Below are 22,216 nucleotides of genomic sequence, written 5' to 3'. Positions count from 1 at the left end.
ACACAAAAACTTGCATACAAATGTTCACAGCAGCATTATTCATAATAGCCAAAAGGTGGAACAACCCAAATGATCCATCACCTGAGGAATAGATGACCAAAATGTGGTCCATCCATACAATGGAATATTCTTCGGAATGAGTAATATTAACTAAAAAGGAATGAAGTCCTGATATGTGCTACAACATGGGTGAACCTTGAAAGCATTATGCTAAGTAAAAGAAGCTGGGCCGGGCACAGTGGCTCACGCCTGTAATCCCAGCACTCTGGGAGACCGAAAATGCAAAAATTAGCTGGGCGTGGTGGCACATGCCTGTAGTCCCAGCTATTCAGGAGGCTGAGGCAGGAGAATCGGTTGAACCTGGGAGGCGGAGGTTGCAGTGATCTGAAATCGTGCCACTGCACTCCAGCCCAGCGACAGAGCGAGACTCTGTCTCAAAAAAATAAATAAATAAAAAAGAAGCCAGACATCAAAGACCACATATTATATGATTCCATTTATATGAAATGGCCAGAATAGGTAAATCCATAGAGATAGAAAATAGCTTAGTCGTTGCCAGGGACTGGGGGAAGGAAATGGGGAAATGACTGCTAATGGGTACGGAGTTTAGGAAGCGGGAAATGAAAATGTCCTAAAATTGACTGTGGGGATGTTTGCACAACCCTGTACATATACTAAAAACCATTGAATTGCACACTTTAAATGGGTGAATTGTATGGCATGTGAATTACATCTCAATAAAGAATCAATAGAAAATAATGTACTGGTGCTGGAATGTGTCTAAAGCATACCAATTTGGGATTCACTCTACCTGTATATTTATCACTATATTCTACAGTGCTTAGAAAGACAGCCTATGCTGAGGTTCCTAATCTAGACAAAGGGAGCATCTGACTGAATCACAGTATATCATTTTTCTAGCTGCCAAAAATAAATCTAGCAACTTAGTTCTTTTTGGAATGTTCTTAATTATCTTTAAATATTATAATGTGATACACAGATATATGATTGCTAAAAACTACAAATAATTTCAAATAAAAATGAGAAGTCCCTCTTAACATCCCAACCCACACCCACCAATACCATTCCTGTCCTCAGAACTAACTACTGTAAACAATTTCCTGTGTATCTTTTTCCAGACTTTTGCTGTATGTTTCATGTTCTTTCACATAAATGAGATAAACTCTACATATTGTTTTAAAAGTTGATTTTTTCATTAGCAACTATATTGGAGATCTTTCTAAGATCTGTTTATTGTTAAAAGTACTTTTTTAAAATTAATAAGCATTAAAACTAGATTTATGTATTCTTTAAAAAGGCCTTCCTTGGCCAGGTGCGGTGGCTCACGCCTGTAATTCCAGAACTTTGGGAGGCCAAGGCAGATGGATTACCTGAGGTCAGGAGTTCGAGACCAGCCTGGCCAACATGGTGAAACCCTGTCTCTACTAAAAATTTCAAAATTAGCTGGGTGTGGTGGTGGGTGCCTATAATCCTAGCTACTCGGGAGGCTGAGGCAGGAGAATCGCTTGAACCCAGGAGGCGGAGATTGCAGCGAGCTGAGACCGTGCCATTGCACTCCAGCCTGGGTGACAAGAGTGAAATCCCGTCTCGAAGAAAAAAAAAAAAAAGGCCTTCCTCACCCATGTATATTTTCTTCTAGAGCTTGCAGAGGTTTGTTGCTAGGAAATTCTGCCATTTTTTAACCCCTTGAAGTATTTTTTTCTTTTATAAAATGACAACTTTATTTCCTATTAAGGCATCTGCCCCAAAATAGAATAAGACTATTTTTATTAGTTAACCAGATGTTGGGCAGCCCTCTTAAAAATGTGAACTTCAAAACGGAAAAACACCATCCTTTTCCCAAAGCACACTCTCTCTCAATAACTAGTTCCAAGACAATGTCATGACATGCTCTATTAAAGCCTTTCACCAAGCTTCCTCAGCTTAAAATGGACCCAAACTTTCATTCTTTCAATAACAAGGGGTAAAGAGAATCATTTTATCAAAAGAAGAGAAAAGCTTGCAAAACAGACCTGCATTTGGCCTTGTTCATCAGCATATTCGATGGACTGGAAGATGGTGAGGGCATAGTGTTGTCTGGCCTTCAGTCGAGCTTTGTAACCTCGGTACCAGTTCTGGATGATCAACGCAGCTCTCAGTGCTGCAGACCCACAGAATATGAAAGTCAAAGAAAAACAGTTACTATGCACCTGTTAGGAGAAGTAGGTGCTTCAGTGGAAAAAAAAAGCAGTCCACCTGGATTCCTAGGTTCTAAGAATATTAAAACACCAAACAATGAGATTGACTTTTATGTTTTTTATAAAATGTCCTCATGTCTCAAACACTCAGAGAATAATGATGGCACAGCCATTAGGAACAGAAGTTTTGGAGTAAGACTGCCTGAACTTGAATCCTAGCTCTGCTAATTACCGTCTATGTTACTTTGGGTAAGTTATTAAAACTCTCAAAACCTCAGTTTCCTCATCTGTAAAATAGGAATAATAACAGCACCTACCTTTGGCATGGCTTAAGCATAGTAAATCTATGAATCTATGTATACCCTATGAAGTAGCAATTCCATTCTTCACTACGTACCCCAAAGGCAATTCTCACACAGTCCATCAAGGAGACATATGGGGATGCAATTGCTTCTTTGTGGCAATAGGAAGTTTGATACAAATAGGCCTGGCTGCCTATCACTAGGAAAGAGAATCTGTATCTTTGGTGGGTGCACACCACGGAGTAGCACAACACAACTGGAAGCAATAGATTAAATAAACCCATAGCAACCTAACCAGTAGGTCTTAAAAACATAGTACTTCCATTGGAATGGTTATTAAAAAGTCAGAGACAGAATGAAATACTACTTTAATCAATAGAACTATATAGATACAAAACCACATTTCATAAGAACATATACAAAGGGAAAGATGCACACAACACATAATGGACCGGTTATTTATAGGGGAGTGAATGAGCGTGGGGTACATGAAGAGAAGGGAATAAACTAATTAACATAAGAAGGGGTCTTGCACAGACCAATGATGATAATGTTCAATGAGCTGATGGAAACGTATGATTCACACCACCTTCTGCACCTGAGATTCGATTGATAAAATGCAGGTGGATAAAGAAACACACCCCCTCCCTCACAGAGTTTCTATGAGGATGAAATGAGATGTTACAAGGGGAAGAGTTTAGCCCAATGCCTGGTAAAAAGCACATGCTAAGTAAATGGCAACTGGAAGTATTGTCTTGTTTGTGGACTATCTAGGCAGACTGTCTCTCTTCTGGGGAAGGTAGCCTTTGAGCCACCTTGTAGTTTCATCATATTGAAGAAAGAAATCAGGTAAGAGGTAATGAGATTTAAAATACAGTCTCTTATGCCTCCTCGAGTTTTAGAGTGAAGAGCAATCAACACCAGCTGGCTCCTTTTATTCATGCTATCGTTTTTCCCAGTTGGTGCATAAAAAATAAGAGTTGACTATAACAGGAACGATGTGAGTTCTGAAAGCAGGGGTCCAGCCCCCAGTCTCAGCATCCTCTGGTTTAGTACTGCTGCAGTACACAGAATATCCCAGGACCTGGTCGTCTCGCAAGGTTAATTTATTAGCTTCCCCAAGGCTCTTGGGTTCCAGGGACTCTTTCCATTATTCAGGTTTCAGAAAACCCCAGGAAATAGACCCAACATCACGTATCATGAGCTTTATAGGGAAAAACCACAGGAAGAAGAAATAGAGTGACATGTTGTGGTGTTATAATATACAAATGATTTGGCTGTGTCCCCACCCAAATCTCATCTTGAATTGTAGCCCCCAAAATTCCCACGTGTTGTGGGAGGGACCTGGTGGGAGGTAACTGATCATGGGGGCGGTTTCCCCCATACTGTTCTGGTGGTAGTGAATAAGTCTCATGAGATCTGATAGTTTTATAAGGGGTTTCCCCTTTCACTTGGCGCTCATTCTTTCTTGTCTGCCACCATGTAAGACGTACCTTTTCCCTTCCACCATGATTGTGAGGCCTCCCCAGCCATGTGGAACCATAAGTCCATTAAACTTCTTTTTCTTTATAAATTACCCAGTCTCGGTTATGTCTTTATCAGCAGTGTGAAAACAAACTAATACAAGATATATATATAGAGAGAGAGAGAGAGCGAGAGAGAGAGAGAGACAGAGAGAGAGAGAGGTTTTCATCCATGGCCCTGATACAGTCTTTTGTTGTGATGTCGGGTATGTTAGGCCTCAGGGGCAGCCTCTGACCTCCTGTCCTCCTTTCACCTGCCCCAAGGCTCTAATCTTCCCCTGACTTTCTCATTATGGGCTTAAGGCTCTATGCCCTAGGGGAAGAAATGCTGTTGTCTTGAAGCCTTCATAAAAACCCAAGAGAACCGGGTTCAGTGAGCTTCCGGATAGCGAAACAGTGGAGGTTCTGGGAGGGTGGCCTGCCCCTTCCCCCTTGCCTCGCCCTATGCATCTCTTTATCTGTTTCCTTTGTAATACCCTTTATAACAAACCAGTAAATGTAAGGAAGTGTTTCCCTGAGTTTTGTGAGCTGCTCTAGTAAAATAATGGAACCCAAAGAGGGGGTCATGGGAACCCCCAACTTGAAGCTGGTCAGTCAGAAGTTCTGGAGGTCTTAACTTGCAACTGGTGTTGGGGTGGGGTGGGTAGGCAGTCTTGGGGACTGAGCCCTCAACCTGTGGGATCTGACACTATCTCTGGGTAGATAATGTCAGAATCTGAATTAGAGGACACCCAGCTGGTATCTGCTGCTTGGTGTGTGCAGAAAAGTCCCCACACATTTGGTCACAGAAGTCTTCTGTGTTGATGATTGCTGTGGTGTGAGAGTGGAGAAAAAAAATGGTTAGGGGAAAAAGATTTTCCCTACACACATCTTCAACCTTGCAAAGCAAATAATTGGCAGTGGCATGGCTGAAATCTGAAGTGTTCTCACAATACCATGATGGAGGCTCTAGGGTCACCTGAAAGGCCTGTTCTGTGGGACAGTCGCTATCATGATGAATCACCCTCTGGCCTCAGGGGTTCTCATACTCACAAGCACAATGGTACCTTTCCAGTGCCACTTCCTAGGCACTTACAAAGGACCATGCATTGATTAGTCCTGCAGTCCTCACAACACTGCGAAGCTGACAGAGACTGAGGAACTCACTAAAGCTCACTTAGCTGGTAAGTGGAAATAGACAGTGAGGATTCGAACCCTGGTCTGACTGACTCCATAGCCCAAGCTCTTAACCTCCATAGAGCTATTGATCTTTTCTGTGCCTCTGCTTCTTCATCTGCACAATGATGTTGTAGAATAAATGATCACTGAAGTCTCTTCTATTTGGTATTAGCAACATCAATAACAAATAAACAAGCTTGGCCAAGTGCGATGGCTCACGCCTGTAATCCCAACACTTTGGGAGGCCGAGGTGGGCAGAACACTTGAGGTCAGGAGTTTGAGACCAGACTGGCTAACATGGTGAAACCCCACCTTTACTAAAAATACAAAAATTAGCTGGGCACGGTGGTACACGCTTGTAATCCCAGCTACTTGGGAGGCTGAGGTGGGAGGATCACTTGAACCTAGGAGACGGAGGTTGCAGTGAGCCAAGATCACCGCCACTGCACTCCAGCCTGGGAGACAGAGCAAGACTCCATTTCGATTAAAAAAAAAAAAGAAATAACTGAGCTTATTACTATTTCTGTAATAATAGAACAAAATAACTATCATATGTTAAGGGTCTATTACAAGACATTTGGTCCCCACAAGCATCATCATCTCCATGTTACACATAAGGAAATTTTGAGTTCAGAAAGGCGAGTCTCTTGCTCCAAGTCACTTATTTAGTATGAACTCAGGTCCTCTGGCTCTTTCCACTCCAGTCAGTTACTTCATTCCCTAACCTATGTGTACCTTTCCTTCCTTTGAATAATAATGGCCGCCATTTATTTATTTATTTATTTATTTATTTATTTATTTATTTATTTGAGTCAGAGTCTCGTCTGTAGCCCAGGCTGGAGTGCAGAGCCACGATCTCGGCTCACTGCAACCTCCGCCTCCTGGATTCAAGCAATTCTCTGCCTCAGCCTCCCCAGTAGCTGGGACTACAGGCGCCCACCACCACGCCCAGCTAATTTTTGTATTTTCTGTAGAGACAAGGTTTCACCATATTGGCCAGGCTGGTCTTGAACTCCTGACCTCATGATCCACCCGCCTCAGCCTCCCAAAATGCTGGGATTACAGGTGTGAGCCACTGCGCCTGGCCATTCACCATTTCTTGAATGCCTACTAAGTGGCTGGCACTAGCTGGACACCTGACATCTACTGCCACTTCTCCTCCCTGATGCGGAGAAAGAGGCAAGCTAGGCCCCCTCCCATCTCTGCCTAGCTTCCATCCCCACCCCACTCTCCAAGGGAGGAGCTGCTGTTTTGTATATAGCACACAATACGTTCACTGGGTTCCACTGGGAGGGGTGTAAACTGTGGCATAGGAAGTTTATAAACACCTATGGTCCCCTCTGTCTTCTACTTCCTCTTCTACTCCAAAGTCAGGAAACGGAACTGCCCCACCCCACCCCAGCTTGGGAAGCAGCCATCTCTGCCTATGCTCATACGCCTGTACCCGAGCACACATGCCACTTATTAAGCTATCAGGTCTCAACTCTAACCCCACCCTTCCCTAGTCAGCACAGTGGTGCTGAGGCTGGGACTTTGCAGACCCCATTTCAGCTTTGTCAGTTGCCCCCTGTGAGGCTCTGCCAATAGGGGTGGGAAAGGCAGACTGCAAGGCTGGAGGGAGGGACTAGGGACACACTCCTTCCTGTCTGCTTCCTGTTCCTGACAGTGTAACCTAGCAACTGCTCTTCACCCCAGGTAACAGTCGTCGGATCCAGTTTGCAGCTCATCCAGCACTTGCAAAGCCAGTCTCATGGCAGCCCCGGAGATACCAGCACCAGCTGAGTGCACCACTTCTCAGAGGTCTGGGCTTCAGTTCTGTGGGACCCTCCTTGCAAGTTTCTCAACCGGAATAATTCCACCCTTTTCCCTTTGTTCTCTCAACTCTAGGGTGGTAACTTCCCTGCAGTTGCTATAGTTCTTTACATTCAATTCTCTCTGTTCAAATCACTCTGTGGTTTCTGCCTCCTGACTAGACCCTGCCCGATGAGCTCATCTCAGAGGGGTGGGAAAAATAGGTCCTGCTAAGACCTCAAGCCTCCAACTTCCTGCAGGCTCCAACGCACGCCGTCATTAGAGCTCTACGTTGAGATTTGGGGTACTTGTGCAGCAGCTAATAAAGTGGACTTTGATCCACATCCTGCTGTTGTCCCTTGGGCATACATTTCCCAAGGAAACCTCTCCAGGAGAGGGAAGGAGCCCAGCAAGGTTGGGCATACCAATATCAGACCTCCAAAACCTCACCTAATTCCTAAGCCCCATCCACCACAGGACAGCACTAGCCAGCTGAGGACCCTCCCCTGGAGAAGAAACCTCCAAAATAGCAAAGGGTAGAATGCAGGCATGATAGACCCTACCCGAGGGGTTGCTGGCCCCCATAACCCCCCACCCTGCCCAGAGAGTTGAAGATCTGCGTCATCCAGTTCTAAACTTATTGGACAGCTTAGATCTACTTCTGGTCCTGCTGCTTCATCTGATAACAGGGCTTCTCTTCCCGGTCACATTGATTCCATGCAGAATAAATGAACGAACGAATGAATAAATAAATGCATGCTATTGAGGAGCATGTGTAGCAAGGGTCTTCTATTTTTGTTTCTAGACAGAAGCAACAGCATAGATTCAATAAGTTACCTGGCCAACTTTCTGTGGCCAGTAGGTGGTTTCTCTATTGCCAAGCTGGTTTTTTGTTTTGTTTTAATAGATTCTTTTCTCTGGTGGCAATCACTATCATGGTATCTTGCAAGAAATTAAATAGTCATGTACGGGGTTAGTGAGCAAGACAAATAATGAATTCAGAGTGATTGCTTTGTGCCAGGCATTGTGCCTCGTGCTTTATGTGGATCATCTACTTCAACGTGATTTGATTTCATCCTCCCCCTAACAATCCTCTCAAGTGTGACTGTCCCTATTTTACAGATAAGGAAACTGGGGCTCAGAAACAACATGTCTGGGGTCATGTCACTTGTCAGAGGGACAATGCAGAGTCAAATCCAGTTATCTGTAATTTCAGAACCTGGGCTCATCCTCATTTTGCTATATACATGGCATTTGGAATCAGCCATAAAAAATGAGACGGGGCCAGGCGCAATGGCTCAAGTCTTTAATCCTAGCACTTTGGGAGGCCAAGGCAAGTGGATTGCCTGAGCTCAGGAGTTTGAGACCAGCCTGGGCAACATGGCGAAACCCTGTCTCTACTAAAAATACAAAAAATTAGCCAGGCGTGGTGGTGCATGCCTGTAATCCCAGCTACTTGGGAGGCTGAGGCACAAGGCATGAGAATCACTTGAACCCGGGAGGCAGAGGTTGCAGTGAGCCAAGATCATGCCACTGCACTCCAGCCTGGGCAACAGAGCAAGACTCTGTCTCAAAAAAAAAAAAAATCAGATGGTATATAGAATAGCATCTCCTCCCACACCTTCTCCCGCTCACATTCCCTATCTCTTTACCTGTTCTACTGTTCTCTGTAGCACTCTTGAGCATCTGACATTGTCTACAGTTATATGTGTATGGGTTTATTGTCCATTTTCCCCTATTAGCTAGGAACTTCATTTTTTTCATTGCTGCATCCGCAGCACCTGGGGCAAGGCCTGGAAATGTATTATATATTTGTTGAATGAATGATTGAATGAATGAATGAACACCTTCTAGGGGTGTTGTAATAATACATAATACTGTATTAGTAATCTGTTGACATAGGTATTAGTAATATATTAATTGATTCATATAAAATGCTTAGCATATTGCCTGTCATATAGGAAGCACTCGATAAATGGGAGATACTTTTTTAAAAATTGTCTCTCTCCAGGCTAACAAATTCCAGTTAAGTCCCAAAGACTTCCTAATTATACATAATATTTCATTAGAAATTTCACAAATTATGACTGCACATGGTGGCTCACGCCTGTAACCCCAGCACTTTGGGAGGCCGAAGCAGGTGGATTACCTGAGATCAGGAGTTTGAGAGCAGCCTGGCCAACAAGGCAAAACCTCGTCTCTACTAAAAATAGAAAAATTAGCCGGGCATGGTGGTGGGCACCTGTAATCCCAGCTACTTGGGAGGCTGAGGCAGGACAATTGCTTGAACCTGGGAGACGGAGGTTGCCGTGAGCCGAGATCACACCACTGCACTCTAGCCTGGGCGACAGAGCGAGACTCCGTCACAAAAAAAAAAAAAATTCACAAATTACTGTGGACAAACAGGCTACCATCTCCGAACACAACAGCCTAGAGCAAGAAGAGCCCGGCCAACTGAGGTGCATGCAGTTAGAGCCTGCAGCTTTTGCTCAGACATCACCTTTGCGGGAGGCCTTTCCTGACCACCCCTTCTTACATGGTCTCCTCTCCCCTCATCGCCTATCTCCTTCCTTATTTTTTCTCCATAGCACTTATCACCATGTGATATTTACTTCTTTGTCATTGTCTGTGTCTTTCCACTAGAATGTAATCTCCATAAGAGCTGGGATTTTGATCTGTTGAGTTAGCTGCTGTATTTCCTGAGCCTGGAATAGTCTCTGGAACATAGCAGGAATAAATATTTGTTGAACAAATGAAATGACTGTTTAGTTAAGACTTTGTGTCTTACATTTCTCTTTGTGCTGGCTGGTAGAGTCTTTATGTTTGGTTTGGTTTTGGTTTTTAAATAGGAGTTTATTTGACAGATAGTTCTTCAAACAAGACATTTCATATTCAGAATGATAAGGTATTTAAAGGCTCTCTGCTTTTGAAATTCTTCTGGCAGAGGAATCCTGAGGAAGCAGCAGGATTAGCGAATATTTAATGTACCTTTAAGGGGCCTGGCCTCCAGGCAAGAAGAGACCCAGGCACAAGTGCGACACAGCTGATTAAAATGAATTCGAATGAACTGGAAAGAAAATGAATCCTCTAATAGCAAAAGGCTTTAAGCGAAGAGGAGAAGCATCTATAACCTCAGCTGTTCAAAGCATGATGAGAAGAGGATATGGCTGAACTCTGGCCTAGGACCACAGTCTTCATTACTGTTATTTTTGTTTACAGATTTTCTATATCTGCCATCTGCCAGAATGTGCGGCTGTCCCAGTGAGACTTCTGACTTCACTGGAAAAACAGCTCAAAGCACATGCCCAGTGAACATGAGACAGACACAAAGCCTGCTTGTTGGGCAGCAAGCAAGGCAGACACCTTATGAGGCTCGCTCAGCCACAAACTCTGGCAGCCCTGCAGAGCAAGGCCACAACACAGAGGCCTTGTCCCTGGGAGACACTTTTCTGAAAGAAGAGAGTAAAGTGTGAAGTCCAGTCTCCAAACAATGTCAGGCATTTGAAACACAACTATCACTTTCCCTAAGGGACAAAAGAGATCATAATTGTGTCATTCTCAGGAACCTCTGGCCTTCCAGTGAGACAAGAGCGAGAATAACAGGTCATTTCTACAACATTCTATGTACTTACTCTCGTACCCACCAACCCCATCCACATGGGGTAATAAAAATAAGTTCTGACTTTGTCATTGAGATACTTCCATTTGGGCCCTGACTTACCCAGTTGCCAGCTAAGTAACCTCAGGCAAATCAACGAAACTCCGAGGTCCTCAGTTTCTCATGTAAACAATGAGAACTTTGGACTGTGTGATCTCTAAGATTCTTTCCAGTTACCAAATACTCTAACTCATCCATCTACTTGTTTTTAGTGCCATTGCTGCAGCCCACCTATCACTGTACATAGAAAAGCTGAAAATAACCATCCAAGGGCACGATATGATGTGCAAAACTGAACACTCAAACCAGAAACTTCTGGACAAAGGAGACAAATTCTAAAGGCTATTTGAAAATAAATCAATCAATCGGAATCATCCCTGTAGAAAAATACAAGTTACTAATATCTCTGGCTTTTCCATCAAGGAATTGTAGCCAAAGTTTGCTAGCAATTGGTTTGGGAACACTAAACATTTCACACATTAGTTTTTTTAACTGCCTAAAATATGACTAAGGTGTATGATCTGTTAACTGGTTCAAGTGACAGCCAACAAAAGATGGAGGGAAGATGGATGGGGAAGAAAGGGAAGACAAGAGAGGGCTGGCTCAGACTTCACCACCACGCAGTATATCCATGTAATAAAAATGCACCTGTATTCCCAAAATCTATATAAAACTGGAGGCTGGGAGATAGAGACACATGTGAAGTATCTAAGGCTCAGAGGTTTCAAAGAAGACCAAGCAATCAGAGAATAGGATGATAATCATGAAGATTCCAGAGGTGGGGCTTTTCCAGGTGACCATGGGGGCCAGTAAATGGGAGTGAGCAGCTGAAGTTGAGGAGATGAGGGGGTTTCTGGGGCTCAGGAGATCAAGGAACTCAGACACCAAAGCATTTGGGGCTTATTCACATGTACAGTGAAGATACCCAGTATGAGGCTCAGAGTGGGTGGAGAGTCTTCAATGAATGAAGTTGGTAGATGGCAAAAACAAGAAAGGGCTAAAAAATGGTACTACCAAAGGACATAAGCCTAGGTTGCCACCACTACAAACTTGGTAAACTTATCTCAGGATGTACAGGATTAGGGTTTTTTCTTTTGAAAGAAATTTTTGTTTTTTTTTTGAGACGGAGTCTCACTCTGTCACCCAGGATGGAGTGCAGTGGCGCGATCTTGGCTCACTGCAACCTCCGCCTCCCAGGTTCAAGCAATTCTCCTGTTTCAGCTTCCCGAGTAGCTGAGACTACAGGCACACGCCACCATGCCCAGCTAATTTTTGTATTTTTAGTAGAGACGGGGTTTCATCACGTTGGCCAGGCTGGTCTTGAACTCCTGCCCTCAGGTGATCTGCCCGCCTCAGCTTCCCAAAGTGCTGGGATCACAGGCATGAGCCACTGCGCCCGGCTGAAATATTTTCAAATGTATGAAAAAGTAAAGATAGTATAATTGTTAATAACTAGTCTCTCTCTCTCTCTCTCTCCATATACCATCGTCATTTCTTCAGTCTCCTTTATTCTGGAACAACTCCTCTGCCTTTCTCTTCAATGACACTGAAATTTTCAAACAGTACAGGCCAGTTGATTGTAAAACATCCCTCAATCTGGATCTGTCTGCTCTTTTCCTCGTGATGAGATTCAGGTTGTGTATTTTGGCAGGATAAGTGGTATGTCTTTCTCAGTGCATTAGGACATCAGAAGGCATGTGGTGCTCATCTGTCTCATTATCACTGAGCGAACTTGGATCACTTGGGTAAGGTGGTGTCCATGTGAACTTCTCTACTGTAGAAGTGTTTGCCTCTTTACAATTAATAAACAGTTTGCAGGAACACGCTTTGAGACTGTGTATACATTCTGTTCTCCAAAATATCCATTGATGATTTTTGCTTAAATCAATTATTTCTATGGTGGTTGCAAAACAGTGATTTTTGAACTCATTTCTTCTACATTTATTAGGATTAGGATTTTTAAATGGCCCATTTAAAGCCCTATTTGATTCAACAGGGCAATGGAACAACATGAAGATGACATAAAGCCATCTCATGAAAGGTTCCTTAAGAGTTGTCATCCTTGGACTGGGTGCAGTGGCTCATGACTGTAATCCTAGTACTTTGGGAGGCCGAGGCGGGCAGATCTCTTGAGCCTAGGAGTTCACGACCAGCCTGGGCAATGTGATGAAACCCCATCTCTACAAAAACTATAACAATTAACCGGGCATGGTGGCACACACCTGTAGTCCCAGCTACTTGGGAGGTTGAGGTGGGAGGATCACTTGAGCCCAGGAGGTTGAGGCTGCAGTGAGCCTTGATGGCGCCACTGCACTCCAGCCTGGGTGACAGAGTGAGACCCTGTGTCAAAAAAGAAAAAAAAAAAAAAAAAGATGAGTTGTAATCCTTGGCTATATCACTAGTTCAGGAAAATGTGATGCTTCATTTATACCATACCAAAATAATAGGCCAACTCAATAAAACACTCAGACCAAGAGAATAGTTTACAAGTAACTGTTAACCTTCCTACCATATTATGTTTTGCCAATTTTCCAAAAGAATTATTATGAATACATTAATTTTTAAAAACTATTGTATTCTTAAGTATGTAAAAGAAATTTTGCTATATAAAAGAATTCCTATCATTTTAAATTATTAAAATAGTCTCTCATAGGAAATGTGTTCTATTCAATAATTCAATAATAACCTTTAATCTTCACTCAGGAAATAATATCTTGACTGCAAATTCTGTTTTATGTCTCCCTCGTTATTAATTACTAATCTGTGTTATATTGCCATGTTCGTTCATCCAAGGTCAAATACGATCCGCATTAAATTTTTGTCTTTTGCAGCTGCTAAAAGCTAATGAAATATAAAGCCATAATCATATAAGAAAAGCGTTCTGAATATGGGAAATAACTGGCAATTGGGGCTGAGGGATTGTCCTTTCTTGCACTTAGTTGCAATAGGTCTCTCTGTAACAAGATTTCCTAACAATTAACATGACCCAACTGGAAAGCTGGCTTCTTTGTGAATTTCCTAGTAAAGCTGGAAGCCAGTAAAAATCATTTAAACAAAGAGGTGGTTCTGCTCTCTTTGGGTTTTGTGTTGTGTTGTGTGTGTGTTTTTGTTTTTTCTTTTTTGAGACAATGTCTTGCTCTGTTGCCCGGGCTGGAGTGCAGTGGTACGATCATGGTTCACTGCAGCCTCCACCTCCTGGGCTCAAGTGATCCTCCTGGGCTCAAGTGATCCTCTGCCTCAGCCTCCTATGTAGCTGGGACTACAGGTGCGAGCCACCATGTCCAGCTATTTTTTTTTTCCTTTGGTAGAGACGAGGTATTGCTATGTTGCCCAGGCTGGTTTCAAACTCCTAGCCTCAAGTGATCCTCCCGCCTCAGCCTCCCAAAGTGCTGGGATTACAGACATGGCTACTACACCTGGCCTTTCTGCCTTCTAAAGGTTCACGATTCTAAAATGGATATCTAAATAGCCCCTATCAGAGTCTCAAAATACTTGAAATTTTTAAAGCAAAGGTAAATTAATCACACAGCAAATAAAAAGATGAAGATGTATTTAATTGGTGTAAAGAATAAAAAGGTTGTTGGGATGGGTTTGTTTTGTTTTGTCTGTTTCATACAGGCATTAAATGTGTTTGTAGTACCAATCCTATACAAACCTCCAGGCCAACACATTATCATATCAAACGGTGACTATTACCTAAGAATTGGTAGTGAGAGGAATCATGATTTCAGATGAAGAAAATGGTCTCCTTTTACAAAGAAAAGTACTTATTTAAAATGATTCCCAATAAAACAGGGATTAGAGCATATGATGTGGGCTGAAAATAAAGATTTGGAGTCTTGACACACTGATGTCAAAGCCATGGACTAGAAAAAGCATCCAAGGAGAGTGTTAGAGTGACAAAACCAGAGAGCCAAGGGGGAACCCAGAGGAGCCCCAACATTTAAAAGCCAGGAGAAAGTAGAGTCCACATAAATAGTTCATGCAGAGACCTAAAAGAAAAACCAGGAGAATGTGTTGCCCCTGAAGCCAAGGGCAATGAGTAGTAAGAAGGGAGTGGGCAGGAGTGCCAAAGACTGCCAGGAAGTGAGCAAAATCAGCACTGAAAATGCTCCATTGGACTTCGAGGTCATTCAAGAACCTGTCAGATCATCTTCCCTGGGCTGGGATCAAAGAGGAGGTAGGAGACAGCGGGTACAAATGCACCCCTAAGGAGCGAGCTTGAAGGGGAGGAGAGAGACGAGAGGAACTGGAGGGGATGAGAGGGCCAGAGAAGACTTATTTTAAAGGGAAGGAAAGAACAGTTACAAAGGGCAATTTTGGACAACTGGGAAATTCTGAATATGGACTACATGTTAGATAATGTTACACTATCAATGTTAAATTTCTTCAGGGTGATCTAGTATTGTAGTTATATAAGAGAATATCCCTCTTTTAGTAGATGCATGCTGAAGTACGTAGAGGTTAATTCCATAATGTCTACAGCTTATTTTCAAATTATTTCAAACGGGTGTTTATGTACTATTCTTTCATCTTCTCTGTAGGTTTGCAATTTTCAAAAATATTTGGGGAGGAAAACAAAAGCAAAACAAAATGGCTTGAGAAAAAAATATATATATATATACAAACCAAAAAAAAAAAAAAGGAAAAAGGAAAAAAAGAGGAAAGTCACCGAGCATGTCAAGATGCTGATGAGCAATAGCTAGCGGAATGAGCAGGAGAGGCAGAAGGAAAATCAATGCCCTCCCCTACCTACCCCTCCCACAGCTACAGAGCATACGGATAGTCTTAGAGGGACAATGGACTTGAAAGAGCATCTTCTCTGTCTGCAGTTCATTGAGGAGGAAAATGAGGACGGTCCGAGTTCACAGGGATTTTCAATATACCCTACGGTGGCAGTAAAGACTGCTTGATGGCTATGATAACCTAGAACCCTCTGACAAACAATAGCAAGGAGAATGGCAAGAGGCCCTCTAAACTTGGAGAAAATTCTTTAGGGAACACCAAAGATGAAAGATTTTCATTTGTTATTTTTCCATGAAGGTCTCAAACTGAAATATACATCACAGTAAAGGACTTCAAATTGGGAGTAAGGAGATGGGGATGGAGAGCCGGGAGGGGGGCTCTCAAGCAGCTGTGAATGGCTTGATTGTTCGATTTTTTTTTTTTTTTTTTTTTTTGAGATGGTGTCTCGCTCTCTCGCCCAGGCTGTAGTGCAGTGGTGTGATCTTGGCTCACTGCAAGCTCCGCCTCCTGGGTTCACGCCATTCACCTTCCTCAGCCTCCCGAGGAGCTGGGACTACAGGCGCCCGCCACCACGCCCTGCTAATTTTTTGTATTTTTAGTAAAGATGGGGTTGCACCGTGTTAGCCAGGATGGTCTCAATCTCCTGACCTCGTGATTCACCCGCCTCGGCCTCCCAAAGTGCTGGGATTACAGGCGTGAGCCACCGCGCCTGGCGATTGTTTGATTTTTAAACAGCTAAATTAACTAGATGTTTTACCAAGAATTAAAGAAATATTTAGTTTGCTATTCAGTATTTTTAAGTTTTTTTCATATAAAATAAAGAATGAGTACTTTTGAAAGGAACAATTTCCTTTAGAGAAACTTCTATTTGTCACAGCTTACGCATCAAACCACAAAGCCAAAAAAGCACGGATTGTCTTTGTCGGCCTCTTAGCACTTACAGAAATTGAATAAATACATTTCTAAGTGGTCTCAAGGGAAGAAATAAAATATATCAGTGTTTCCAAAGTGCTCCATGGGAACAAAAAGGCAATAGATTATTAATTGAAATACCATTAACATAAAATTTTAAGTGTCAAGTGAAATTCAGGAGAATGAAATTGCAATGTTTAATTTCTGTTATGTGGATAAATTCCAATTCTCCAAGTCAGGGTAGCATATCAGAAGGGCCATGAACTTTGGAATCTGCCAGATCTGGTTCCAATTCAGGCTCTGCCACCCATGAGTGTGTAACTTGGGGCAGTTAAGTCTCACTTTCCTCATTTATAAAACGAGGGAGACTAATCAAAGCTTTAAGAGTTTTGGTAAGAAATAATGAGAGTAGCAGGCACTCAATAAATGATAGCTATTATTAGTCCTCTCTTACCTGCTACATATCACAAAAGAAATAAAATAACAATGACAATATAAAATTGATGTTACTTTTTTTTTTGAGATGGAGTCTCACTCTGTTGCCCAGGCTGGAGTGCAGTGGCATGATCTTGGCTCACTGCAACCTGTCTGCCTCCCAGGTTCAGGCAATTCTCCTGCCTCAGCCTCCCAAGTAACTGGGATTACAGGCATGTGCCGTCACGCCCAGCTAATTTTTCTATTTTTAGTAGAGACAGTGTCTCACCATGTTGACCAGGCTGGTCTTGAACTCCTGACCTCAAGTGATCCACCCACCTCAGCCTCTCAAAGTGCTGGGATTACAGGTGTGAGCCACTGTGCCTGGTCTTTTTCTTCTTTTAAGAGTCAGGGTCTCACTCAGTGGTGGTCCTGGCTGGAGTGCAGTGGCATAATCATAGCTCACTGCAACCTCAAACTCCTGGGCTCAAGTGATTCACCCGCCTCTCAAAGTGTTGGGATTACAGGCGTGAGTCACCGCGCCTGGCCCGATGCTACTTCTCTACATGGAAGCTGGGTAGAGCACAAGAAAGGGAATAGCCTCGATTTTATATGTAGGTTACGCTTTCTCAAACTGCCGTGATACTCCAGAGGCAGAGTACTGTGGTCAGGTGGAACGACCTAGCAGGACAAAAAACCCTTAACACTAGTCAGACCAGTGGAAACAGGAATCAAGCACGAGCCTTGGCTCTGTGACTTGCTGTGTTCCCTTGAGGCAATCACTTTGCCTTTCAAAGCCTCATTTCCTTTTCTGCAAACTGAGAACAACCCTTCAAAAGGCTGTGAGGATCAAACGTATGTTACAGGGCCTGGCCAACTTGAAAAGCACTATGCAAATACAAGGTACTGTATATAAGTAAATTTAATTAAAGCTAGCTTCTGAAGCAGCAACATTCAGAGGTGGCATAAAATGGTGTAATGGGTGACAGCAAAAAATACTTTGTCATCAAAACTCCTTGAATTCAAATCCCAACTCTGCCAGCTGTAAGCTGCATAAACTTACCAAGTAGGCTGGGCACGGTGGCTCACGCCTATAATCCCAGCACTTTGGGAGGCCGAGGCGGGCGAACCATAAGGTCAGGAGTTCAAGACCAGCCTGGCCAACATGGTGAAGCCCCGCCTCTACTAAAAATACAAAAAATTAGCTGGGCATAGTGGTGGGCGCCTGTAATCCCAGCTACTCAGGAGGCTGAGGCAGGAGAATCACTTGAACCCGGGAGGTGAAGGGTGCAGTGAGCCGAGATCACGCCACTGCGCTCCAGCCCAGGCGACAGAGTGAGATTCCATCTCAAAAAAAAAAAACAAAAAAACGAAAAACAAACTTACCAAGTACCACACTGAGCATGAGCTGCTTCCACTATACAAACAGGAATAATAACCCTTTATTCAGGTTTATTACAAGGATTAGATAAAACATATGTAGATTATGTTGAACACTCTTTGGAATATGGTTAGTAATCAGGAAATAATATCTATCATTTTCTATCAAGAGCTTTCAAAATATTTATAGCCCTTGACACGATAATTTCATATCTAATCACCTGAATATAGAAATAATCCAAAATAAGGAAAAGGCTTTGCACAAAGAAATTCTTCAAAGTGTTATTTATATTAGTATTAAAAGGTCCAATATTTGAAGAATAATTAAGCATATTATGGCCTATTCACCAAATAAAATACTTAGCAATGACTAAAATGATGTTTGCAAAGCATTTATAACAACTTGAGAAATGTTTACATAACATTTTAGTGCTGAAAGTGAGGCTACAAAAAACTAACATTTAGGATGATCAGAAATCTATAATATACAAAAAATACATTGAAGGAAATTATCAGAATGTTGTCATTATCTCTGGGTAGTGGAATGATGAGGGAGTATTCATTATTTTCAACTGCTTTTCTATATTTTTTCCAAATATCTGAATGAGAGAAAATTTTATGCACACAATGTTTGTCTATGAATAAATATAAGTAAACATCACTGCATCAGCTTTCAGCAGATTTATTATTATGAACTCATAATAAACCTTGATTGGCATATCCAACAAGAGATAAAAGAAGAAAAAGAATTTTAAATGGCTCTTCTGGACGCACTCCATATGGGTTTGCCCTGCTCCATAAGGAGCAATGGAGCAGTAAAGAAAAAAAAAAAAAAAAAAGAATTTTAAGGGAATACTCTGAACAAGTATATGTCAACAAATTAGATAATGTAGATGAAATGGGCAAATTCCTAGAACTACCACAAATGACTCAAGAAGGAATAGAAAATCTAAATAGTCATATAACAAGAGACAGAATAAGTAATCAAAAAAACTACGCACAAAGAAAACCTCATGCCCAGATAGCTTCACTGATGAATTCTACCAAATATTTAAAGAATTAATACCAATTCTTCATGAACTCTTCCAAAAAATGGAGGAGAAGGGAACACTTTCCAACTCATTCTATGAGGCCAATATTACCCTGACAGTTAAATCAGACAAAGATATCACAAGAAAACTATAGATCAGTATCTCTTATGAATATAGTTGCAAGATTCCTCTACAAAATACCAGCAAACTGAATTCAGCAGCATATAAAAAGCATTATACACCATGATCAAGGGGATTTATCCTAGGAATGCGAAGTTGGCTTAACATCAATTAACATAATGTGCCATTTAATTAACATTATATGCCATATCATAAAATAAAGGACAAAAACCACAAGATCATCTCAATACATGCAGAGAAAGCATTTGACAAAATTAAACACCACTTTGTAATAATAAAAAAATCAATAAACTAGGAATAGGAGTGTGTTTTCTCAACCTGAGAAAGAGCATCTATGAAAAAGACACAGCTGATATAAGACTTACTGGTGAAACACTGAATGTTTCTCCCTTAAGATCAGGAACAAGACAAGGATGGCTACTCTTGCATTTCTATTTGACATTGTAGTGGAGGCAAGAAAATGAAACAAAAGGCATTGGAAAGAAACAAGTAAAACTATATTTGCAGATGACCTGGTTTGTAAATAAAAATTCCTAAAATATCCACTAAAAACCTATTAGAGCTAATGAGTTCAGTAAAGTTTTGGGATATAAGACCAATATACAAAAATCAATTTTTAAACATTTGCAATAAACAATCCAAAAATGAAATTAACAAAAATCCATGTATAATATCATCAAAAAGAATAAAAAACCTAGGTTAAATTTAAGGAAAGAAGTGTAAAACTTATACTCTGAACACTACAAGACACTGGTGAAAGAAATTAAAGATCTAAATAGATGGAAAGACATCCCATGTTCATGGATCAGATTATTTAATTGTTAATATAGCAATACTCCCCAAATTGATCTACAGATTCAACACAACCCCTCTCAACATTCCACTTGGCTTCTTTTGAGACACTGACACATTGATTCTAAAATTCATATGGAAATGTAAGGGACCCAGAATAGCCAAAATAATCTTGAAAAAGAGAAACAAAGTTGAAGAATTCATACTTCCCAATTTCAAAACTTTATTAAAAAAAGCTATAGTAGGCCTGGCGTGGTGGCTTATGCCTGTAATCCCAGCACTTTGGGAGGCCAAGGCGGGCGGATCACAAGGTCAGGAGTTCAGACCAGCCTGGCCAACATGGTGAAACCCCGTCTCTACCAAAAATACAAAAATTAGCCAGATGTGGTGGTTTGTGCCTGTAATCCCAGCTACTCCGGAGGCTGAGGCAGGAGAGTCACTTGAACCTGGGAGGCGGAGGTTGCAGTGAGCTGAGATTGTGCCATTGCACTCCAGCCTGGGCTACAAGAGTAAGACTCCGTCTCAAAAAAAAAAAAAAAAAGCTATAGTAATCCAGACACTGGTACTGGCATAAGAAAGACATACAGATCACTGGAATAGAATTGAGAGCCCAGAAATAAACATTTATGGTCAATTGATTTTTGACAATGGTGCTAAGAGGATTCAATGGGGAAAGAACAATCTTTTCAACAAACAGTGCTGAGACAACTGGATATCCACATGCAAAAAATGAATTTGTACTCCTACCTCACACCATACGTGAAAATCAGCAACTCAAAATGGTTCAAATGCCTAAAAGTAAGAGCTAAAAGTACAAAACTTTTTTTGGCCTTTAAAAACATATATATTTAGGGGGTATAAGTGTAATTTTGTTACATGTATAATGAAGTCTGGGCTTTTAGCGTAACCATTACCCAAGTAGCATACATTGTACTCATTAGGTAATTTCTCATACCTCACCCCCCTCCCACCCTCCCAGCTTTCTGAGTCTCCAGTGTCTATTATTGTATTCTGGATGCCCATATGTATACATTATTTAGCTCCCACTTTTAAGTGAGAACATGGGGTATTTGACTTTCTGTTTTTTGAGTAATTTCACTTAGGATAATGGCTTCTTGTTCCATCCATGTTGCTGCAAAAGACATGATTTCATTCTTTTTTATGGCTGAGTAGTATTCCATGGCATGCATATATATATATATACACACACACACACATATATATACATATATATATGCACACACATACATACATATATACGTATATATACACACACATACACACACACACATATATACACACACACACACTTACATATACATACACCACACATTTTCTTTACCCAATCATCCATTGAAAAACACTTACGGTGATTCCATATCTTTGCTATTGTAAATAGTGCTGCGGTAAACATAAGAGTGTAGATATCTATTTGATATAATGACTTCCTTTGGGTAGACTCCGTGGTGGGATTGCTGGATGAAATGGTAGTTTGGTAGCTCTATTTTTAGTTCTTTGAGAAATCTCCATAATGTTTTCCACAGAGGTTGTACTAATTTACATTCCCACCAGCAGTGATAAACATTCCCTTTTCCCTACATCCTTGCCTACATCTCTTATTTTTTGACTTTTTAGTAATAGCCATTCTGACCGGTATGTAAGGTGGTATCTCATTATGGTTTCAATTTGCATTTACCTGATGATTAGTGATGTTGAGCATTTTTTTCGTGTGTTTGTTAGCCATTTGTATGCCTTCTTTTGAAAAAATGTCTGTTCATGACCTTTGCCCACTTTTTAATGGAGTTATCTTTTTTTTCTTGTTGAGTTGTTACAAAACTCTTAAAGTAAGACGTGAGCAAAAATCTTTTTGGACTCGGGAATGGATTCTTAGATATGACACCAAAATCACAAGCAACCAAAGAAAAAATAAAGTGAACTTCATCAAAAGTAAAAACTTTTGTGCTTCAAAGAACACCATTAAGAAAGGATGAAGAGAATTCAACAAATGAGAGAAAATATTTGCAAGTCACATATTTGATAGGAAACTTGTATCTAGAATATATAAATTTATCTTACAACAATATAAAAATAAATAATTCAATTAAAAATGGGTAAATGATCTGAATAGACATTTCTCCAAAGCAGATATACAAATAGCCAATAAACACAT

General features: G+C 41.3%; 1 protein-coding gene across 19 annotated transcripts in view; it reads right to left on the bottom strand.

Moving 5' to 3' along the window:
- The window catches only part of PPEF1 (protein phosphatase with EF-hand domain 1), a 152,851-nt gene that overhangs the window by 95,576 nt on the left and 35,059 nt on the right, over positions 1 to 22,216 (bottom strand). For 16 of the 19 annotated variants that reach the window (XM_047442194.1, NM_001378382.1, NM_001377986.2 and 13 more), the window contains one exon: positions 2,034 to 2,161. The exons of the other annotated variants lie outside the window; for them this stretch is intronic. In XM_047442194.1, coding sequence (XP_047298150.1) covers positions 2,034 to 2,161 — 128 coding nt within the window. The remainder of the gene's footprint in view (positions 1 to 2,033; positions 2,162 to 22,216) is intronic. 19 annotated transcript variants of the gene reach the window in all.

This window comes from Homo sapiens, chromosome X (assembly GCF_000001405.40).
Source record: "Homo sapiens chromosome X, GRCh38.p14 Primary Assembly".
NCBI classification, from domain to species: Eukaryota; Metazoa; Chordata; class Mammalia; order Primates; family Hominidae; genus Homo; species Homo sapiens.
Note: the sequence above shows the minus strand (reverse complement) of the source record. Positions and strands in the feature narration are given on the sequence as shown.